This window comes from Homo sapiens, chromosome 3 (genome assembly GCF_000001405.40).
Source record: "Homo sapiens chromosome 3, GRCh38.p14 Primary Assembly".
In the NCBI taxonomy this organism is placed as follows: domain Eukaryota; kingdom Metazoa; phylum Chordata; class Mammalia; order Primates; family Hominidae; genus Homo; species Homo sapiens.
Window position 1 is genome coordinate 186202588 of NC_000003.12, and position 21195 is coordinate 186223782.

Sequence of the window (21195 nt, forward strand, 5' to 3'; positions counted from 1 at the left end):
TATTACTTAAAAGATGCATTTGTTTGGTAGACATTGCTTGGGGAAAGTTATTCTTTTAGTAAGGGACCTTGGTGGTAGAAGACATATGCTTCCTGGGGCTGGGACAGAAGTTGGCTGAGAGGATCTTCCAGAAAGAAATGTATTGTGGGAGAGCATTCTGACCCAACATGCTGAATCACTTGACCCCCAACTTTGGTCTTCTGAGACTTTCTTGGGCCCCATCTATTAAACATGCTGCATATCCCTCAACAACTACTTTGTGAAAATGTAGGCATAAAACATAATCTTTAAAAGTTACTTCTAAGTCCACGGAAGACACAAAGTAGATAGAGCCAGGAGTCTGAAGACAAAAGAAAATCAAAGTAATTCACAAAGAACAAAAGAAATGGAAAAGAACCGGAAAATAAAAGCATATGAATGAATAGAGGCTTGAAGTGAACTACAGGGTGCACATTAGTAAGAAATAAAAAAGAGGGTCATTTAAGAAAAAGAAAAAGTTTTATGTGCCAGAAACTGCAAGCAAACAATGGAATTTTGTAAGGGAAAGTTGACAGAAACAGTTTTTCTTTAGTAAGCTGAACGATTCTAAGCATTAGTGAAGGAAACTCGTAGTCAGTGCACGACTGAAAGAGACAGAGATGGGGATGATGGAGCTGCATTTAAAAATGAATAAAGATTTAATAAGCCAAAGAATCACAGAGGTCCTCAGGAGGCCTGATGATAAAGAAACAAGGGCTAACATTACCCTAAGATTGAAACGAGGCCAATGTTGTAGCAGTGCTGATTCCTGGTTGGTGGGATTGGGGGTTATTTTCTTTTTTGCCCCTCTGTATTTTAAAATGTTCTGCCATGAATTTGGATTACCTTTGTAATCGGGAAAAGAGGTTAGCCCACATATTAGGAGTAGCGGAAAGAAACCGATTAGGAGGAAGCAGAAAGAAACCAAGTGGTGAGAACCGGTGAATGGGCAAGAAGAAGCAACCAGAAGTGGCAGGAGCTGCCTTGGATGGTCTCACAGTGAAGGTGATGCTGGAATGAGGGAGCTGCTGGACTGGATTGAGGAAGGGGAATAAACTAGAAGGAGGAGCTCTCTCAGGACCATTCTAGCCTTACTTTTGACTCCATGGTTTGATATGTAATCAGGTTGGCCCTCTTATTTTCCACGAACTCAAAATCCCTTCTAATGCTCTTCTCAACTTTCCCTTCCCCATGCGTGTTTCCATTTCTTCCACTGTGGCGGCATGGACAGGCTGTACGTCAGCCAATTCCTACTTTCCTTACTCCAGGGAAAGGCTCTACCTGTGGTAGCTGAGAAGAAGGTTCAGATCATATCAGGAGAGACCAAGACTTGAAGACCTCTTTCCCTCTAGTTTAAGAGTGTGCAGCACTGCAGGTGGATGCTAAGACAGAGTAGAGAATGCCCACAGCTGGAGCTTAAGAGCCGTGAGTTCTCTTCTGCACATACTGGTTTGGGTGAAGTTAGTCAAGGTACTTAACCTGTGAAGTCCTTGATGTCTCTTTTTTAAAAATAATAGCACTGGCCAGGTGTGGTGGCTGATGCCTGTAATCCCAGCACTTTGGGAGGCCAAGGCAGGTAGATCTATTGAGGTCAGGAGTTTGAGATCAGCCTGGCCAACATGGTGAAACCCCATCTCTACAAATACAAACATTAGCCAGGCATTGTGGTGTGTGCCTGTAATCCCAGCTACTTGGGAGGCTGAAGTAGGAGAGTCACTTGAACTTGGGAGGCAGAGGTTGCAGTAAGCTGAGATCGCGCCACTGCACTCCATCCTGGGTGACAGAGCGAGGCCCTGCTTCAAAATAATAATAATAATAATGGCGCTGGTTTAGATTGGAATAGCTAAAGGTATCTGCCCAATCTTAAAGGACAGTAATCTGACTCATTATTTGTGCTAAATGTTAGTTTTAGAATATGGATTCTCATAGGTGAGACCCATATCCTGATATGGTGATATGGATTAAATATCACCAGCATAGTACCCAGCACGTCCTTTTTTTTAAATTAAATTTTTTAAAATTTAACCATTTTAAAGTGTCAGTGGCATTTAGTCACACTGTCTTTTTAAAGTGTTAGAATAACATAGTCATTTGGGTTGGTTCCATTTTGTTGCAATAAAAAAATGTTGCATTGCACCTCTATGCTCATGTGCGAGAAACTCTCTAGATCGATGTTGAGAAGAACTTGCTGGGTCATATAGGCTATAAATGCATTTTCGGATTGGCGTGTATTGCTGAACCGCTCTCCAAAGTGGCTTACCACTGATGTTCCCACCAGCAGTGTCTGAGAGTTCCCATTTCTGCTCCTCGTCACGGATAGTGGCTGGGTTTTCATGGAACTCCATAGGGCAGTTAAAAGTGACGAACCAGGCCAGGTGCAGTGGCTCATGCATGTAATCCCAGCACTTTGGGAGGCCAAAGTGGGCTGATCACTTGAGGTCAGGAGTTCAAGACCAGCCTGGCCAACATGGCGAAACCCCGTCTCTACTAAAAATATAAAAATTAACTGGACATGGTGGTGGGTGCCTGTAATCGCAGCTACTTGGGAGACTGAGGCGGGAGAATCACTTGAACCTGGAAGGCAGAGGTTGCAGTGAGCCGAGATTGTGCCATTGCACTCCAGCCTGGGCGACAAGAGCAAAACTCCTTCTCAAAAAAAAAAAAAAAAAAAAAAAAGTGACCAACCTGCTCTATCAGCACTAACATGGAGTGATCTCAAGAACATAAAGGTGAGTGAAAAGGTAAGTTTGGAGCATAAAGAGGCTGGGGCCTTCAGCTTTATCTGTAATATTTTATTTCTTCTGTTGAAAAATAGTTGAAGGCGCCAGGCGCGGTGGCTCACGCCTGTAATCTCAGCACTTTGGGAGGCCAAGGTGGGTGGGTCACCTGAGGTTAGGAGTTCAATACCAGCCTGGCAAACATGGCAAAGCCCTGTGTCTACTAAAAATACAAAAATTAACTAGGTGTGGTGGCGGGCACCTATAATCCCAGCTACTCAGGAGGCTGAGGCAGGAGGATCACTTGAACCCAGGAGGAAGGGGTTTCAGTGGGCTGAGATTGCACCACCGCACTCCAGCCTGGGTGACAGCAAGAGCTCCATCTCAAAAAAAAACCAAAACAACAACCACAACAACAAAAAATGGAAAAATAGTTGAAGTAAATAAGACAAAATAATGACAATATCAATTCTGAGTGAGGGGGAGTTGGGAGTATTTGATATACTATTCTCAAGACTTTTCTGTATTAAAAAAATCCTCAAACACTCAAGAATGATCAATAAATACTAAAAAAAAAATTAAAAAAATCCTCAATTAAAAGGAGTAATTGATGTGCAGAGATTCCCAAAATATACTGGATAACCAGATATTTTTTTTGAGCAGCTTCCAGATTTGGACTTACTTCCCCTCCATCAAAGTTTATATTAGTTCATATTAGTGGAGCTGGCTGACCTTCCCTTGTGAATATGTTTTAAAGATTGGATTAAATATCAAGGAATTGGGCCAGGCACAGTGGCTTATGCCTGTAATCCCAGCACTTTGGGACGCCGAGGCAGGTGGATCATGAGGTCAGGAGTTCGAGACCATCCTGCCCTACGTGGTGAAATCCCGTCTCTACTAAAAATGCAAAAATTAGCTGGGCGTGGTGGTGCACGCCTGTAGTCTCAGGTACTTGGGAGGCTGAGGGAGGAGAATCACTTGAACCTGGGAGGCGGAGGTTGCAGTAAGCCAAGATCACACTACTGCACTCCAGCCTGGCAACAGAGCAAGACTCTGTCAAAAAAACAAAACAAAACAAAACAAAAAAACAAGGAATTTTGTAAGTTCTTATTTTTAGCCAGTGAAATGAAACATCTCTACAAAATGTAAAATAAGTGCTTGAGTTGAAGCCTGTCTGGTTTGCTCTACCTATGATCCCATCCAGAAACCTCTACAAGGTTATTCTGGGCCTGGGGTGGGGGAGGTGACTCACTGTGTGCCTCCCTCGCCCCACCCCCCACCTGCTTAATCAGGTGAAATCAGGTTAGAATGAATATTAAGAGCCTCTGGAAGGGAAGAGATGTCAGAGAGGAGTACCCTGAGAGACTGCCTTAGACCAGGGATGGTGAGGGTGAGGGTGGGGGTGTGGGGACATGCTGGCTTCTTTTTTGTTTTTTTGTTTTTTTTGAGAGAGTTTTGCTTTTGTCACCCAGGCTGTAATGCAATGGCCTGGTCTCCACTCACTGCAACCTCTGCCTCATGAGTTCAAGAGATTCTCCTGCCTCAGCCCCCCGAGTAGCTGGGATTGTAGGCATGTGCCACCACACCCAGCTAATTTTGTGTTTTTAGTAGAGATGAGGTTTTACCATGTTGGCCAGGCTGGTCTCGAACTCCTGACCTCAGGTGATCTGCTCACCTCAGCCTCCCAGAGTGCTGGGATTGTAGGCATGAGCCACCGCACCCAGCTGACATGCTGGCTTCTTAATTAGGGCCCACAATGATTTATGGAGCACCCAGTTTCCAGGTACAGCACTCACGTTCACAGGCCTTCCTTTGTGGTCTCATAGAAGAAGCATCTAGGGTGAACGTTTGCAATATTTTTTTATGCTCCCATTTTGACAAATGGAAAAAATTATTTCCTGCTTTTGACGTTATCTGAAATGTCAAAATAAAGACTGGGAATAAGGACATTGGATATGCCCAAACCTGGTTGAGAGTCTCTGCTCTAGACTGAGCTTCTCAAGTGCCAGTACTGCCCCGAAACTCTCGGGTGTCTGGCAAATCTGGATTTGAAGGCTGATCTGATCACTTGTAGGTTATGGACCTCAGGTGAGCTTCTTACCTTCTCTCAGCCTGTGTCCCCCTTCTCTGGAAAGGTGATTATGACACCTGCCACTTAGGGCTGCTTTGCAGATTCCATGAGGCACTTAGCACCACTGCCAGTTACATAAAAAAACAAAAACAAAAAGCCCTGAAAACTTCAATCCTAATAATGGCCTTGGGAGGTAGACTAACCCCTATGCCCCCCATTTTATAGATGAGAATACTGAGGCTCAGATATACAGTTCAATAAGTGGCTTAACCTAAGCACAGACCAGGGCTCACTGCCAGGCCTTGTGACTCCAAGTCAGGGCCCTGGCCATGTGTCTACAGGTGAGCAGGAGATTTAGAGTCACCTTCTCCCCTGCCTGAGTCACAGGCAGGGCCAGGAGTGATTTGACTCACGTGGCTCTGCAGGACTCCTTGCATCTAGTTTCCTTAGCGCTAGGTAAGCAAGCGCCATATTGAACAGCTTTTGTGTGTTCTGTGGACTCCCTTCAGTTTCTCTTTTGTCCAGTTGGCCCAGTTGGCCACAAGCTTCGTTTCAGAGATGAGACCAAGTCTCCTATTCCTTCTCAAACAGCCACTAGCCTCAGAGAAATCGCCTGTATATCGCCTGAATGGCTTTTTTTCTTTCTTTCTTTTTTTTCTTTTTTTTGAGACAGAGTCTTGCTCTGTTCCCCAGGCTGGAGTGCAGTGGTGCAATCTTGGCCCACTGCAACCTCTGCCTCCCAGGCTGAAGCCATCCTCCTGCCTCAGCCTCCCAAGTAGCTGGTATGACAGGCCTGCACCACCACACCCGGCTAATTTTTGTATTTTTAGTAGAGACGGGGTTCCACCATGTTGGCCAGGCTGGTCTCAAACTCCTGACCTCAGGTGATCCACCCACCTTGGCTTCTCAATGTGCTGGGATTACAAGCGTGAGCCACCGCGCCTCGCCACGCGAATGGCTTTTAATGGAAACCTTCCCTGCAGTCTCTCATTTGAGCTTTAAGTTTCACCATCCAACTTTTTACCAGATTGGCAAAAAAAAAAAAGAAGAAAAAAAAAAGGAAGAACCTAAATAGACTTCACTGTTTCCCTAAGTTCCTTACAGCTGTGCCCTTCCTCTGGTCACTGAACCTGTCAACCTAAGTTCCCTCAACCGTAAAGTGAGGACATTAATATTGGCCCTGCCTGTTCTGTGCATCAAAATAAATGAGATGCTGTGTGGGAAGACCTTTTGCAAACTTTAACGCAGTTTTCCTCCTCTCTGACTCTCTCTCCTATGATCCAGCCTGAATCTATTCCTTCCTCAAATGAGAAGTAGGACTGAGTCTTCTGTTCTTTGCAAAGCATTTCTCAGCACACCTGCCCAGCTGCATGAGCTGAGAGGAAATCAGCATATTAAGGAAGAAGAAACAGTGCCTCCTGCTGAAGACTTTACTGCTTCTAGCACCTGTTAGGTAAATCTCTGTTTATTGGGTTCCAAGCTAAATTCACTCTAAAAGACCTGGAATCTTCTCTCTTATCAGTTTTCAGCAATGAAGTTTTGGTTGAGACACTGAATGTACCTAAGCCTCATTTTTAAAATGTGATAATAGTTGCCTTGCTGCGTTGTCATAGCATATTAGGACATGTTATGGTCGGCAGTCAAAGCACGTGACTTTTTCCTGTCCCACTGGACTTTTCTCTCCCTTCAGTTTACTCTTCTTTTTTTTTTTTTTTTTTTTTTTAAGACGGCGTCTTTCTCTGTCTTGCGCAGGCTGGAGTGCAGTGGCACCATCTCAGCTCACTGCAGCCTCTGCCTCCTGGGTTCAAGCGATTCTCCTGTCTCAGCCTCCGGAGTAGCTGGGACTACAGGCGCCCACCACCCACACCTGGCTAATTTTTGTACTTTTAGTAGAAACAGTGTTTCACCATGTTGGCCAAGCTGGTCTCGAACTCCTGACCGCTGGTGATCCACCCGCCTCGGCTTCCCAAAGTGCTGGGATTACAAGTGTGAGCCACTGCACCTGGCCTAGTTTACCCTTCTAAATCTCTGTGCCTCAGCTTGCTTCCCCATAAAATGGGGATAATAATCTCTGGACTACTTAGCTCACAGGGTTGGTTGTGTGACTTTGAAATAAAGGCTATGGTGGGGAACTGAAGATGGCGAAATGTAGTAGCAATGCCTCAGTGGGGTTATTTGCTGGCCTGGGGCTGGTGGGTCGTGTGCTGGTTCTCAAAGGCCTGGCCTGTTGTCTGCAGCAACCACGTTTAGAAGGTCCCTTAGCATAGCTGCTCTTACCAGCTCTTCCTGAGGCCCCTGACACTCTCCCATCTCCCTGCAAGGCTCTGCGGTCTCCTTACACCTGTTACCCCCATGCCTCGCCCTGTCCGTCTCTCTTAGTCCCCCTCTAGATCACAAGGCACAGGACCATTCACCGCTATTCTCTGGATACAGAAATGGTGCCTGCCCCAATCCTGAGGGCTGTCAGAAGCTGCCCATCACATGACACGCTCAGCCCCACTCCCCCAGCTAATCCTCATGAATAAATACTAAAAAGACTCATTATGGAGAGATAAGGAAAACAGGAAGTGCTTCTGAAAGCTCCCAACAACACCCTCCCTCCAGACCAGTGAACAACCCCACCCCCTCCAGAGGCCACCAGTGTCTTTAGCAACGAGGCCCCCTCTGCGGTTGAGGAAGAGCCTCTGTCTCTCAAACCCAGAGGGGACTGTGGGGCCTGGAGCCGGGAGGGCAGGCCAGAGGCAGGGGAGCTGAGTTGCTGTATTCTGGGCACAATTTCAAGGCCAGCTGCAGGGAGAACAAGCAGTCGCTGTGCGCCTGCAGCTGGCTGTGGTTAGGCCAGGGCTGTCCCTCACTTGTGGTATATTTAAAGAGACCTCACCAGACGGCTGTGCCAAGGGGAAAAAATGCACACATATCCCTGTTAGCCACACTCGGTTCCCCTGCCAAGGCCTCTCCTCCTTCCTCAGCTCCCAGCACTGCGTTCACACGTCAAGAGAGGAGGACCGGCTTCTCAGACTCCCTGTGTGCCACCTGGGGACACACAACCTGGCGCCTGGCCTCTCTGCCCTCTTACCAAGCTGGCCAAAAGTTCAGGGGATTAGCCAGATCGGCGCCTCCCACCCTGGCGTTGGTAACCCAGCAACCGAAGAGGAGAGGCAGGCAGATGAGTCAAATGCAGCCGCACAGAACCTCTGGCTTCGTGTTTTGTTTGTGAAAACTCCCTGTGAGTGAGGAGCACAGGGGCCCTTCCGGCAGGGAGGGGCAGGGCTTTCCTACACCACTCCAGGCCACAGGTGCCTCCTCCAGGGAGGCCCAGGCCCCACTGGACTGCAGTGCGGGCTTAGAGGCCAAGCTGGTGGGCCAAGAGGAGCCCACCCTGGCTGAACTCTCTGGCTGCCTCTTCCACTTATTTTCCTCAAGTGAAAAGAAGACTACGGGCCTAAATCCCACGGGAAGGTAGGCCTGGTAGCAAGAACTCTGGGCAAGAGAACCAATGGGCGTAAAGTCCCACGGAGCAGGTGTGCATAGAAGTTTGGGCTTTCAGGTGGCCAGACACCAAGGAGCTGTCCTCATGGCAATCAATGAGAGGGCTTCCGGAGCGAAGCCCAGCCAACGTGGGGTGAGAGGGTGGGAAGTGGGCAGCTTATCAACCAGGGGAGGGGAGCCAGCAGGCAGACTGTCTGAGGCAGGCCCCTACAAGTGCCGGAAGAGTTAGTGAAACACAAGTGCACCAACAGGATTGGCTACATAATTTGCGGGGCCTAGTTCAAAATGAAAATGCCAGCTTCTTTGTTAGAAAATTATCAAGGATTTCAAGACAGTGACAGCATAGGATGAAATCAAGGGCCCTTCTAAGCACAAGGACATTTTGTGACCACACAGGTTGCACACCCACAAAACTGACCCTGGGTACCTGTGAGTCAGCTCGCTGAAGCAGATGTGAAAATCAAGGCAGGTCAGCTGGGGGATGTCTGGCTGCAGCCCCTATACTCCCCACCCCTGCTGCCCTGTAACACCAGTTCCCAGACTTTTACCAGGCTTGGGACATTGTCTCTCCAACAGCAGCCCCTCTCCCTGTGCTGACGGCAATGGAGACTTTATCTCTCAGAAAAGAGGGAATCGCAAGGCCACGGTGGAAGGAGGGCTGAGGGCTGGAATGAAGTGTGGCTCTGGGCTCTCGGGGCCTCTGAGTCCCAAAGCCCCCCAGGGATTCTCTAGACAGGCCACTGGAGCCTTCTGAGTGAGCGTATGGAGGTGTTTTGGAACAGGATGGAGAAACAACAGAGACTACGCTCTGGGTCACCTCTTAAGGTCCCAAGAGGATACATCCTGTGCATGTGTGACAGTCCAGGAGCAGAACCAAGATCCAGGAAGCCTTCTCCCCACTTGGGAACTTACCTCCAACTCAATGTGGTCGTGGAGTTTCTTGCAGGTCGCTGCAAAAGTCTCCGAGGTGCCAAATTCAAAGTACCACAGCTTGTTCTTCATCCTGGACCACAAAGCAGAGAGATGTCTCAATATTCCATACTTGAAATGCTCATGTAAAATAGCTATGTTCTTTGGATTGGGAGGCCCAAGCCTTCAGCAATTTCCCCAATCTTACATTTTCAGCACTTGTTAATCAGATGATCAAGGAATAGAAATTTTTTACCAACTGTTCTTGCTCGGAACTTAGAGAAAATCCACTTATTTCTTAGACATCACGGCAACCCTGGGTGAACTACCAACTGCTCCCCGAGTTTCCTGGTCAGAACAGGAAGAAGGTCTCTGTAGCTGCATTAAGGAAAGAGCTCTACGAGAAGTCAAGCCAGAGGTGGCAAATATCAATACAGTGCTCTGGCCACTGTCCTTTCCATTACTCAGGCAGAACTCTCTTTTGGGTATGTTTGGGGTGTAAAGGGAAGATCCTTCTAAGACTTGAGGGATGTGCAGTCTTAGGACAGAGGAGGGATAGCCCCACACTAACCCAGCTAAAATGTGTGCTGCATTGCCCAGGCTCTGACTGGGGGAAGCAGAGTGGCAAGAATTAGATACAGACTTGCAGGCAAGTTGGAAAAAAAGAAGAGTTGATTGGTAGCAATAATCACCTCCCCTCTTCCTCAAATGTATTTGCTTAGGCCATGGCAATCCTTCAGTTAAGGGCAAGACTTGTCATATTTGCTTCAAAGTAAGAGTTCACTACTTTGAGCTTTAAAAATTTTCAGCATTTTCCTTGAGAGAAAAAAAAAATCAATCAATGGGGTTCCCGTGTAGCTGGGGGCTTTGCAAAGTCAGATGGTGTGTCCTGACACTTGGTGCTTTTGATCAGATGGTCTCACTGGGAAGTGTTTCTGAAGGTATTCCATTCCTTCCACCCCAACTGTCACCCCATTATCAGGGGTTGGCTAAGAGAAGGGACACCTGTCCAGTTTACGAGCTGACAGATTTTGCTAAGGAAGGATTAAACAAAATCACATTCTTCTTGGCACTCAGAAGAGAGGATGCCACCTTGCATGGCGCTAATCCTCTCTCCTCAGGTTTGCAGATGAAGGGGAAAGGAGCAGTCTTCAGAGGGAAGAGGGCTCTTATTTTTTCCTCATGTTCCTTAGGTTGTAGCAGATGACTCTCCAGAATAATAGACACAACTCTTTTCTGCAGATTTCCCCAAGAGTCTACCTAGAACTTGAAGATGAAACTGTGTTCTTCCATTGTATGAAGACTTCTGAGATCTAGTTGGTTGGGAAATAGCTTCTCTGACTCTTAGTATGCATGAAAAGAACTAATAAATGATGAAGAAAGTAAGAGTAAGCAAGCTCTGGGAATTATGCCTCATGAACAAAATTAGAAGAGCTGGGTGTACTGTAAGCAGACCGGTGCTTCTCAACCCATGTGCTGTGGCACAGGCGTACCTGGGATGTCAGTCTCCTCAGCCTGCAGAGCAGCCAGGTGGGATCTGGGACAGGCTGAGCCCCAATGCCATGGCAAACATTCTCATTTGTATTCCCAGTGTGCCACACATAGATTTTCATTTTCTATGCATGCCATGATGATGTAAAATAATTGGGGGAAACATTGTTCTAGATGACTGGTTCTCTGCATGCACAGTCATGTGCATATCTAATCACTTGGGGATTTTATGAAGATGCACATTCTGATTCAGTGATTTAGGGTTAGGGCCCAAGATTCCTCATCTTCAGTGCTGCTGGTCCAGGGGATACTGTGAGTCATGTGGATCTGGAGACTATGCCTGTGGTTCTCAAACATTGGTATTTATAAGAATTACCTGGGGAATGTGATTAAAGTGCTGCTTCCAGGGCTCCAATCTGTAGAGATTCTATGAGAGAGTTGTGGAACGGGGCCCAGGATTGTGCATTTTTATGTGTGTCCAAGTGATCATTATGCAGATGGTCAGTGGACAGGACATTGCTGTAGATCCCAGTGAAATGAAAACATGGAAAAGGACAGAACCAGTTAAACCTGAAGGAGAGAATTCTCCAGGGAGGACAGAACGAGGGTCAGTGCCTTTCCACAGTCAATGATGGCAAAAGACTAAGTAACAGGAAAAACACAGATTGTCATAAATGTCAAAGCTGAGCATTCCTTTTTGGCAGCAAGAGCATCTTTGTAGCCAGGAGACTTGCTTGTGATTCCATTTTCAAATATCACTGCTGGCCTGAATCATGACTTTTGAAAGTTATTGCCAGGAGATTTAGAGTTTCAATAAAAGTTTCCGGAAGCCACAGCTATTTTTGCCCAGTAGTAGCTCTTCTGATGAGCTAATAAAGGTTAAGAGGTCACGGTTAGGTCAGCATCGCAGAATAACTGAGAAGATCAAACGGACTACTCATTCATTGCTGGCTGTGTAACCTTTGACAAGTGATTTAATGTTTTTAAGCCTCAGTTTCCTCATCTCTAAAATAGAGATAAGAAAAATATCTGCTTCAAGAGGTAGTTGAAAAGTTAAATGAGATAACAGCAAAGCACTTCACATAGGATTGCTGTATAGCAGGCTCATCAAGAATGCCAGCTACTTACTTATTAGCTATTATTATTTCAGTGTCTTGAGCTGGCATATTTGGATAATATAGTGAGGCAAAAATGACAGATAAGGATGTGTAGCTATAGATATTATATATTAATATTTTTCTGGGCAAGAAAAAATGTGATCATATTTATTAAATTATGTGTCTTGATTTTTGGTGAAAAAAATATGCTCCCCATATGTCCTTAATAGATTTTTCCAGAGTCATACCATGCCCTAATCCTTGATTAATTATCTTGACTGGTCACACAATTGGCCAAAGCGATGCTAATTGCTAATATACTTCGGAGAAAGTGCATGTTTGGTGTGAGACAAAGTATTCATCAATTCAACAGACATTCATTGTGCCAGGGACTAGAGAAGGTGTGCCTGGTACAACAAAGAACAAAATAGCATTCCTGGACATCTGGAAAAGACAGACAGGAAGCAGACCACAGTGTGGTTGGCCAAGAACCAGGCACCAGAGTTCATAGCTGGAGGGACACCCAATTCTTAGAAGGATGTAGAAGGCAAACAGGGAAGGTGGAGAAAGAGCATTTCAGGCAAAGAAAGAAGCTAGGCCATGGGACAGGCAAGAGAGAGAATAGTCTTGCTGGAGGGGACACAGAACTCAAGGTAGGGCTTGGCTAGGTAAGGCTGGAGGCAGACAGGAGCAAGACTGTGAAGGGTGGGCACGCCACACTCAGGGGTTTGTGCTTTATCTTAAAATCTGGTGGGGCGCGACGGCTCACGCCTGTCATCCCAGCGCTTTGGGAGGCAGAGGCAGGAGGATCACCTGAGGTCAGGAGTTCGAGACCCGCCTGGCCAACATGGTGAAACCCCATCTCTACTAAAAATGCAAAAATGAGCCAGGTATGGTGGCGGGCACTGGTAATCCCAGCGGCTTGGGAAGCTGAGGTGGGAGAATTGCTTGAACCCGGGAGGCGGAGGATGCAGTGAGCTGAGAATGCACCACTGCACTCCAGCCTGGGTGATAGAGTGAGACCCCCATCTCCAAAAAAAAAAAAAAAAAAAAATTCTATAGGGAGTCATGGACCATCCTCAAGTGGCTGGGGAGGGGGATGGGGTGATGGTAGTGACCTAATCAGACTTAGGTTTTTTAAAGATCATTCTGTTCCATGTGTGGAGAAGGGACTGGAAAGAGAGGTACAGACTGGAAGTTTGGAAAATAGATTGGAGGTGGTGTAGAAATCCAGGAGATAACTGGGAAGGGCCTGGACAAGGGTCATGACAATAGCATTAGAAGAGAAGAGTGGGGGAGACTCACAAGCTAAAATTTAGGAGTTATTTTAGCTTACGGAACAAAAAAGAGGGGTCACAGTGATAGCCAAGTTTTTGTCTTAGACAGCGTGATAGATGACAGGTGCCATTTCCTGAGAGAGGGGCACAGGATATTGATTTCCCAGTGGCAGTCGTCTTTGTAACTGAAAGACAGCACTTTTGTTTTTGGTTAATCTTTTCATTCATCCATCCATCCATCCATTAAACATTTATGGACCCCTACTATGGGCCAGGTGCTGTGTAGGGCTTGGAGATAAGTGATGAATAAGACAAGCAAGACCCCTGCCCCACCCCCCAAACCCCCATTATTTGGGGGGTGGGGCAGAGTCTCATTCTGCCTCCCAGGCTGGAGTACAGTGGTACAATCTTGGCTCACTGCAACCTCCGCCTCCCCGGTTCAAGCGATTCTCATGCCTCAGCCTCCTGAGTAGCTGGGATTACAGGCATGCGCCACCACTCCCGGCTAGTATTTTGTATTTTTAGTAGAGATGGGGTTTCACCATGTTGGCCGGGCTGGTCTTGAACTCCTGGCCTTATGTAATCCATCCACCTTGGCCTCTCAAAGTATTGGGATTGCAGGCCACCGCACCCGGCCGAGCTTATACACTTTTAATAGCATCACCAAGACCTAAGATTGAACCTCTGACCCACAAGGGACGTGGCTTTTAGATATGTTCAAAATGGAAATGCTTCTATTTCTCCTCTTTTAACTCAGGCACTTTTTGGCTAGAAGTGAATGCATTCTATTCCCATGGCCCTTTGGTTTTGCACTCTGCTAAACATTTTACACACACCATCTCCTTCAGTTCTCAGAAGAAGCTTACAGGTAGGTTACTCTAAGATTTCCTTATTGCTACAAATAAGGACATTCACAGATGGAAGTGAATTCTCCTCTGCCTCGTCTTCCTTTTCCTTTGTCAACACCAGCACACCACCACCACCACCCATTTCCAAAGCCTTCAGGAAAAGCCTATAGGCACGTGGTACCCTACAATTTGAGCTGGGAGATGCAGCCCCCACTCTCCCTGACTACCAGAGAGCCTGAGTGCAATGTTCCTTCTTCTCTTTTGAAGCTATCTCCCCTCCTACTTTACTCTTAGCCCTTGTTGGAGGACCGTTGCTGCAGAATGTGGCACTGAGCTTTTGTCTGTTTCATCTTCTATTGTACAAGAATATGGCATCTGAGAGCTGAGAGGCTAGGGTTCATGACTGGCTTTGCCACTCACTGGCTGGGCAAGTTATTTAAATTATTTGAACCTTCACTTCTTCTACAAAATGGGAACATTATTTTCTACTCACAAAGTTGTGAGGCTTATGTGGCAAATGCAAAGTACCAAGCAGGTGTTTAATGCATAGTAAGTGCTCAGTAGCTGTTCTTCCTTGTTGCTAGGAGACACAATCACTGGAAGAAGACGCATTCCCCACAGGCTGCAGGGGTAAGGGTGGGTCTACTGTGGGGAGTCTATCGTAGGTGGCCCATATTTTTTGAAGAAAATAAAACTAACGATGTTTTCATGGCTGCTGGAATGCTTTTTCTGCATCTCTCTTCCTGAGTAGTCTTTGGCCCACCATTTTTTTTTCCCCTCTTACAATCACCTTTCAGCTGGAGATGACTAATCCTTAACCAGCTGTTCTGAGGCTGATTTCCAGTTCCATGAAACTCCTAGGTTCATTGTCAGGCTCTGAACTATCCAGATGAACCCATTCTTGAGGCAGAAGATCCTCCTGTGTGCTCCAAGGGACTCTCAGCCACATGGAGAAATGGCAAATACAAACAGTGACACCATGGCTCAACTCTATTTCTGGGTTTTCTTAATTGCCCCCTGGCTTATAAGAAAATAACATCAATTGCACACTAGCTAGTTGAATCTTTTCATTAGACAGATGAGAGAAAAAATGAGACTAACTAAAAATGTTCTTTTATGTTTGTCAGCAATTTAGGGCTGAAATCCATCATCCTGACAGCTATGAATAGCCTGTTTTCAAGGATGTCCACAGTGAAACCCAGCTAGCTGCTGGCCATTCACTTTACCAGCAGAGGCTACGCACTCAGCTTCCTATGCCACCCTGAGCTTCTGGGGACCCTTTCCTGAGAATCAAGGAAGTTTTAAGGGCATTGGGCTTTTGAAGTTGTCAAAACATGAAAACATTTATTTGGGCTTAGAAGTCTACACAGAGAACACTACAGTTATTTCTAGAAATAGAAGCCCTTGAAGTGAAGGTATTCCTCTTTGTGGTTTGGACTTTGATAATCAGGTTCTCTGAGTGACTCATAACTCACATAGTTAGTTAGGCCTTGGGTGTCAGCATTAGATTGGGAGGCCTGGTGAAACAGATGCTACCCACAAGATGGTGTTCTGTATGGCATGGGGGGAGGGCAGAATGATTTAGTGGAGACTGTGCTGCACCAGCGGGCAGAGCTGCCTCCCAGACCCCATTATCAAACACACCAGCATGTGACTTCATGAGAGTCACTCAGCAACACCAGGCCTCAGATTCCTCATCTTAAAAATGAAGGGCTTGGGGCCGGGCACAGTGGCTCACACCTGTAATCCCAGCACTTTGGGAGGCTGAGGCGGGTGGATCATGAGGTCAGGAGATCGAGACCATCCTGGCTAACATGGTGAAACCCTGTCTCTACTAAAAATACAAAAAATTAGCTGGGCGTGGTGGTGCATGACTGTAATCCCAGCTACTCGGGAAGCTGAGGCAGGAGAATCTCTTGAACCAGGGAGTTGGAGGTTGCAATGAGCCGAGATCGCGCCACTGCACTCCAGCCTGGCGACAGAGCGAGACTCCGTCTGAAAAAAAAAAAAAAAAAAAAAAAATGAAAGACTCGGACCAACTGCTTTCCAAGGTTTCTCCAAGCTCCCCAGACAACTTGAGATGACACAATTCAGAACAGGATGGGAGGACTCACGTGTTCTACAACTGCTGCTGTGTAGGAGTGTGGGCCCAAGTATTGTCAGAACTGACATTTTTGAAAGAGAATCCAGAAATATATTTTCATGTAAAATCTCCTGATTATTGGAATTGGCAACTAATTCAAGTTTTTAAGAACCTAAGCCAAAAAACTACACATTTGGGAAAACTGTAGCTAGCCAACAGGACATTTCTGTATATGAATTATAAATTTTCATCAGGTTCATCTCAATTAAAATATAAAACAAATGATCTCAATCCCATTTGGGATTTGCTGGGTTATTAGCGGTGTTATTGCTACCACTACTGAAGATAATAGACTAGCATTGGATTACTAAGGTAAATAATAATTTAGCAAATCAGGTATAACAGAAATGCAGAACGGCCAAATGCAACAAGAGTTGAATTATAATTGATAAATATTAGTAATAATATTGACAGTACTTTACCTGTTAACATTTTACATTACTTGAATCTCAAATACCTTTGGAAGCTTAGTGATTATGTTAACCGAAGTTTACATCAAGAGTTAAAAAAAAAAAAAAAAAAAAGAAAAGCAAAGGCAGGTGGGGTCTGCTCTGAGGCCAGGATGTCAAGTCCTATAAGGGGCCCCTGACTGTTACCTCACAGGTGCTGCAGAGGCCATCTGTGTCACCCGCACACCCAGCTGCCTTGGCCCATCAGAGAGTGTGTCACCACATCTAATCCACGCTGCATGCTGTCCCCAGCTCTCACTGCTCATCAGAACAGGCACGCAGTGATCCTCAGGCACCGAGCTGTGCATGGAATCATCTTTTCCAAGAGGGGGCAGTGGCCCCTTTGGTTCAAGGGAAAGTGAACACCCAAAAATCAGGAAGGAGGCTTTATAAATAGCTGTTTTTGTACTCTGAATGTGACTCTTGTGCCTGCTGTTCCTGCCAACAGATTTGTGTTGGCTCGATGTGTTTCAGCTTCAAGGCGCGAGGTATTCCCTGGCTTGTTTCCATACTTGGGACAAGACTGGTGTTCATGGCACTCAGAAAAATCTAGGGTGGTGAATGATGGGAAGACTGGAGGCCAGAGACCAGGAAGAGTGGGCAGAAAGATGGAGAACAGGAAAGGGGAGATCTCAAGAAGGGGCTCAGAAAAAAAAAGGCTGAGGAAGGAGGGAGAAACTTGAGTAGGATGTATTTTATTGTATAACTATGGAATCCTCTTAATAACCTCTGAAGACACTTCTTGAGTCATTTCCATGTGTGAGAAATTAACTGTAAAATCACAGATGACATACTGTTTGCAACTAAGAGGTCTTCAGGGTTCAGGGACTTATTATAGCCAGGGGATCACAGGTTCCAAAGAGTTCTTCCAAAGTGTAAATGGAGTCCAGGAGCTGCTGTCAATATGTCTTAATGTAAAATAGTATTTGTGCATTTAATCATAATAAAGACAGCATAGGCTAACTAGTGGGTTAAACTATAATTTTTTTGATGTGCAATGGAATTAAATCAGTTATATCAGTTACTGCTTGGTAACCAGAGACACGGATTGAATGGCAATTGAATCCTGAATAATCAAAATGGGGAAACAAATGATTACTTAGAAGAGCTTTATGGCTGAAAAAAGTCTTACTCAATATGGCACCCATGGTGGGAGGCAGTGGGAGAATGAATAAAAATAGTGCACTATTCCATAGTAAAAGGGTACATGTAAAATTACTACTCTATACCAGGGCTCCATGGTGGTTCTCTTCTAAGCCATGGCAGCCTTCTCACGGTACAGCTTAGGAAACCGAGATCAGTTCTTGGTGATGCAGCTGGGAGGTATGGAGCTGGAATACAAACCCCGTCTTCCAGCCCATACTCCTTACTGGTTTACTCTCCCTGGCTCCTGTTGCTATGCCCCAGAGGCACCTGAGAGAAATGGAAAAGTCAACCGAAGTCACCAGAGCTAGTGACTGCAAAGCTGTGAGTCATTCTCATTCATGCCTGTGAGCTGGGTTTACTCACATCTACCACATGCGCCACCGGTATGGCTGTAGGATCCCAGCTTGAGGTTGGCTGGGACCCTGACACTCTTTAGCAGAGTCCATGATCTGGGCCTCCCCATTGGTCTCCAGTCTCCACTCTTGTCCCAGAGTAACAAAGGGCCAAACCCATAAGCCTCATATTTAGAGCAGCCTCTGTACCCCTTCAAGGGTAATTCTGGGCCCCTAAGAATCTACTGCCTCTGAACAGTGACCCTTCTCTTCCATATAAGACAGTGTGTTTCTGCGGACCAAGGACACATTCTCCATTGATAGGATCTCCGAATTCTGTCTGGCACCTGACAGTATCTCCTCCTAAGGGCAGGACTCCAAGCACGAAGATTGCCAAAGTCTGAAATCGGATCCTTTCCCAGTGCAGCACACAAGGACACACGTGTGCACGTGCGGGCACACACACAGGCCGCAACAAGAAGGCTTCCCTGAGACTCATGATCCACTGTTACCAAATGTGCTCGCAGACACTGCCCCTCTGAGGCCAGAGAGTCTCTCCAAAGGCCCAGCAGCCTGACTGGAGAATGGCCACTGTGCTGTGAAAGGCACCACTTTGGGGGTGGCCCTCAGGGGAGAATGCTGAGGGGCAGGCAAGGCCAGGACCATGTTGTCAGGGTTTTCCTTTCCTGATGGCCTGGGTCTCCAGGGTGTTTTTCCAGTTAGTATCTGTCCTTGCCAAGAGAAAATAGCTCCTTTCCCTCATCCAAAAAGAAAAAAGAAAGAAAGAAAAAACCCTCACAGTTTGGCTGCTTCTTAGCAATCCTTTCTCCCTTTGAAGAGTTATTCGTGGAAAGAAAATCCCCTTCAGGCTGATTTGGCGGAGGGTGGAGGGCATGGAATAAGCTTGCTCTTGGCAGTTAACGGAGAGCAAAGTCAAATACTGGGACAAAAAGAAATCCCTGCCTGGAGGGACGGGGAAAAGGCGGACAGGAATGCTCACTCCTGAGGTTCTGTAGTGATTCCTTAGCTGTGCTTTCCAGCATTTACACATCCATCAGCCCTGGGAACTGGTATCTGAAGGCGGTGGGGACAGTGAAGATACAGGTGGGTGAGGCCTCGTGTTAGAAACTGAGCCTTGAAGGCTTAGAGAAGGTGGCTGTCCTGCTGGAGCTGAGCCTCTCGCTGTGGAAGGTGACTTCCTGGGTCCTGATCAACCAAGACTAAAAGGTGGAACTGTCTGGAGGAGCAGAGGCAAACCCTGGAAGCAGGTCCACACCCTCACACTACCGTGACCGCCGGGTGGGTCCTGAGGGAGCCAGCTGAGCTCTGCCGGCCCCCAGCTGTTGAGAGGAATCTCACTTCCCACTTCATAAATGTTGACCGTGGGTCTGACCTGCACTGGCTGCTTTATGCACCCAAGGGTCGCGCTCTTTTGATCCTCACGTCTACCCCCTGCGGTAGGTACTATGGTGGCTATTTGTAGACGTGTGAGATGGTTGTTCCTTGGCAAACCTACAGCTAGACTGGAACGGGATCACAGAGTCTGAGGGGATGCAGGCTGGCTGATCCTGTTCTCCCCTCTCGCTCCCCAGCCAGTCTTTCTGAACACGAGGCAGTGCCTGCTTTATGATAGGTCGGGTTACAAAAGTTCCTTGGTTAAGCCAGTTGTTTGTCACTCTGAGCACATTTCCCCATAGAAACAATGTGATGTTGAGGTTGGGTTCCCAGGCTAACCCACAAGAGCCAATTAACCCATTAGGTACCCAAACTACAATGTCTCGTTTTAGAGAGAGCTTACTGGAGCTGAAGGAGTTCTGGTGGGAAGGCAGAAAGGCCTGGGTTCAAGCCACAGTTCAGTCACTTACCTGCCATGTGACCTTGGGCAAATCATTTAGTCTGTCTCTTAGTTTCTCTATTTTTGAATTGACACAATATGACCTACCTTGCAGGGGTTGCTGGCAATATTAATTAAGAATACACACACATGGTCGGGTGCGGTGGCTCACGCCTGTAATCCCAGCACTTTGGGAGACTGAGGCGGGCGGATCACTTGAGGTCAGGAGTTTGAGACCAGCCTGGCCAACATGGTGACACCCTGTCTCTACTAAAAATACAAAAATTAGGCCAGGCGCAGTGGGTCACGCCTGTAAACCCAGCAATTTGGGAGGCTGAGGCGGGCGGATCATGAGGTCTGGGAGTTCAAGACCAGCCTGGCCAATACGGTGACACCCCATCTCTACTAAAAATACAAAAATTAGCCAGGCGTGGTGGCGGGTGCATGTATTCTGAGCTGCTTGGGAGGCTGAGGCAGGAGAATTGCTTGAACCTGGGAGGCAGAGGTGGCCACTGCACTCCAGCCTGGGCGACAGAGTGAGACTCTGTCTCAGGAAAACAAACAAACAAACAAACAAAAGAATACACACACGTGTATGTATACTATATATATATATATATATATATGTCTCATGATATACACTCCAATAAAGGCACAGTAGAACTCCATTGTTGTATATAAAACTGGCTTCGTGGCCTCATGATTCTGAGTTCCAACTTAAAGTACAGGGAGCACATCTTTTCCGCTGAATTGGGATTGGGGATCTTTGCTTTCCTCAACTTCCTGGGAAAGAAACCTGGAGACTCCTCTACCCTACATCCCCGGCGGTGACCCTGAAGTCTGGGCTGGAGTTCTACTTAGGAGGGGAATGGAGACGCCAGAGGGAGAGTGAGAAGCAGCAGAAGTGGAAAGGGTAGCAGAGAGCACACACTGAAGTATGCATCCTGTGTCTTCCTTTTGCAATCCTAAAACTCTAGGATGGTCTGGTTATTTCTGCCTATGTTTCCTGTGCCTTCCCCACCATCGGCTGGTTAGAGGCATCTTGTCTAGAATTAAGTCCACGGTAAGTCGCTCCCTCCTTGTTTCCCTTACCTTTCCCATCATGAAATTGTTAGCAAGGCAAGTCAAAAATGCACTCGATAGGGCAGATGCCTGGATAAATACCCCCCTTCTCTTCCCTATTCCATCTTCTTCCTGTGCCAGTTTAAAAAATCTTAAATAGGAAAGCATGAGCCAGAGCCTCGCTCTGCCTGAGAAGACTGCGGTAGACCCTGCCAGCAAAATCCTTTCTATTTCATCCTTTTGAAAATCTCATCCATATGCTCTCTACTTTGCTTCCACTCTGACGTTTGTGACTTCTTATTCTTGTGTATA

General features: G+C 46.6%; 1 protein-coding gene across 3 annotated transcripts in view, besides 4 other annotated features; it reads right to left on the minus strand.

The window, feature by feature from the left end:
* DGKG (diacylglycerol kinase gamma) overlaps positions 1-21195 on the minus strand; it is a 215034-nt gene that overhangs the window by 55387 nt on the left and 138452 nt on the right. For all 3 annotated transcript variants that reach the window (NM_001080745.2, NM_001080744.2, NM_001346.3), the window contains one exon: positions 9208-9298. In NM_001080745.2, the coding sequence (NP_001074214.1) occupies positions 9208-9298 (91 nt within the window). The remainder of the gene's footprint in view (positions 1-9207; positions 9299-21195) is intronic.
* Positions 7341-7968: an enhancer, noted in NCBI's record as "H3K4me1 hESC enhancer chr3:185927717-185928344 (GRCh37/hg19 assembly coordinates)". NCBI's record gives its function as "activates a minimal SCP1, AML or CMV promoter by ChIP-STARR-seq in primed H9 embryonic stem cells {active_cell/tissue: H9 hESC(primed)}" and the evidence as "EXISTENCE:reporter gene assay evidence [ECO:0000049][PMID:30033119]".
* Positions 12819-13535: an enhancer, noted in NCBI's record as "NANOG-H3K4me1 hESC enhancer chr3:185933195-185933911 (GRCh37/hg19 assembly coordinates)". NCBI's record gives its function as "activates a minimal SCP1, AML or CMV promoter by ChIP-STARR-seq in naive H9 embryonic stem cells {active_cell/tissue: H9 hESC(naive)}" and the evidence as "EXISTENCE:reporter gene assay evidence [ECO:0000049][PMID:30033119]".
* Positions 18071-18140: an enhancer, noted in NCBI's record as "active region_20932". NCBI's record gives its function as "activates an Ori minimal core promoter by ATAC-STARR-seq in GM12878 lymphoblastoid cells {active_cell/tissue: GM12878}" and the evidence as "EXISTENCE:reporter gene assay evidence [ECO:0000049][PMID:35858748]".
* Positions 18899-19812: an enhancer, noted in NCBI's record as "H3K4me1 hESC enhancer chr3:185939275-185940188 (GRCh37/hg19 assembly coordinates)". NCBI's record gives its function as "activates a minimal SCP1, AML or CMV promoter by ChIP-STARR-seq in primed H9 embryonic stem cells {active_cell/tissue: H9 hESC(primed)}" and the evidence as "EXISTENCE:reporter gene assay evidence [ECO:0000049][PMID:30033119]".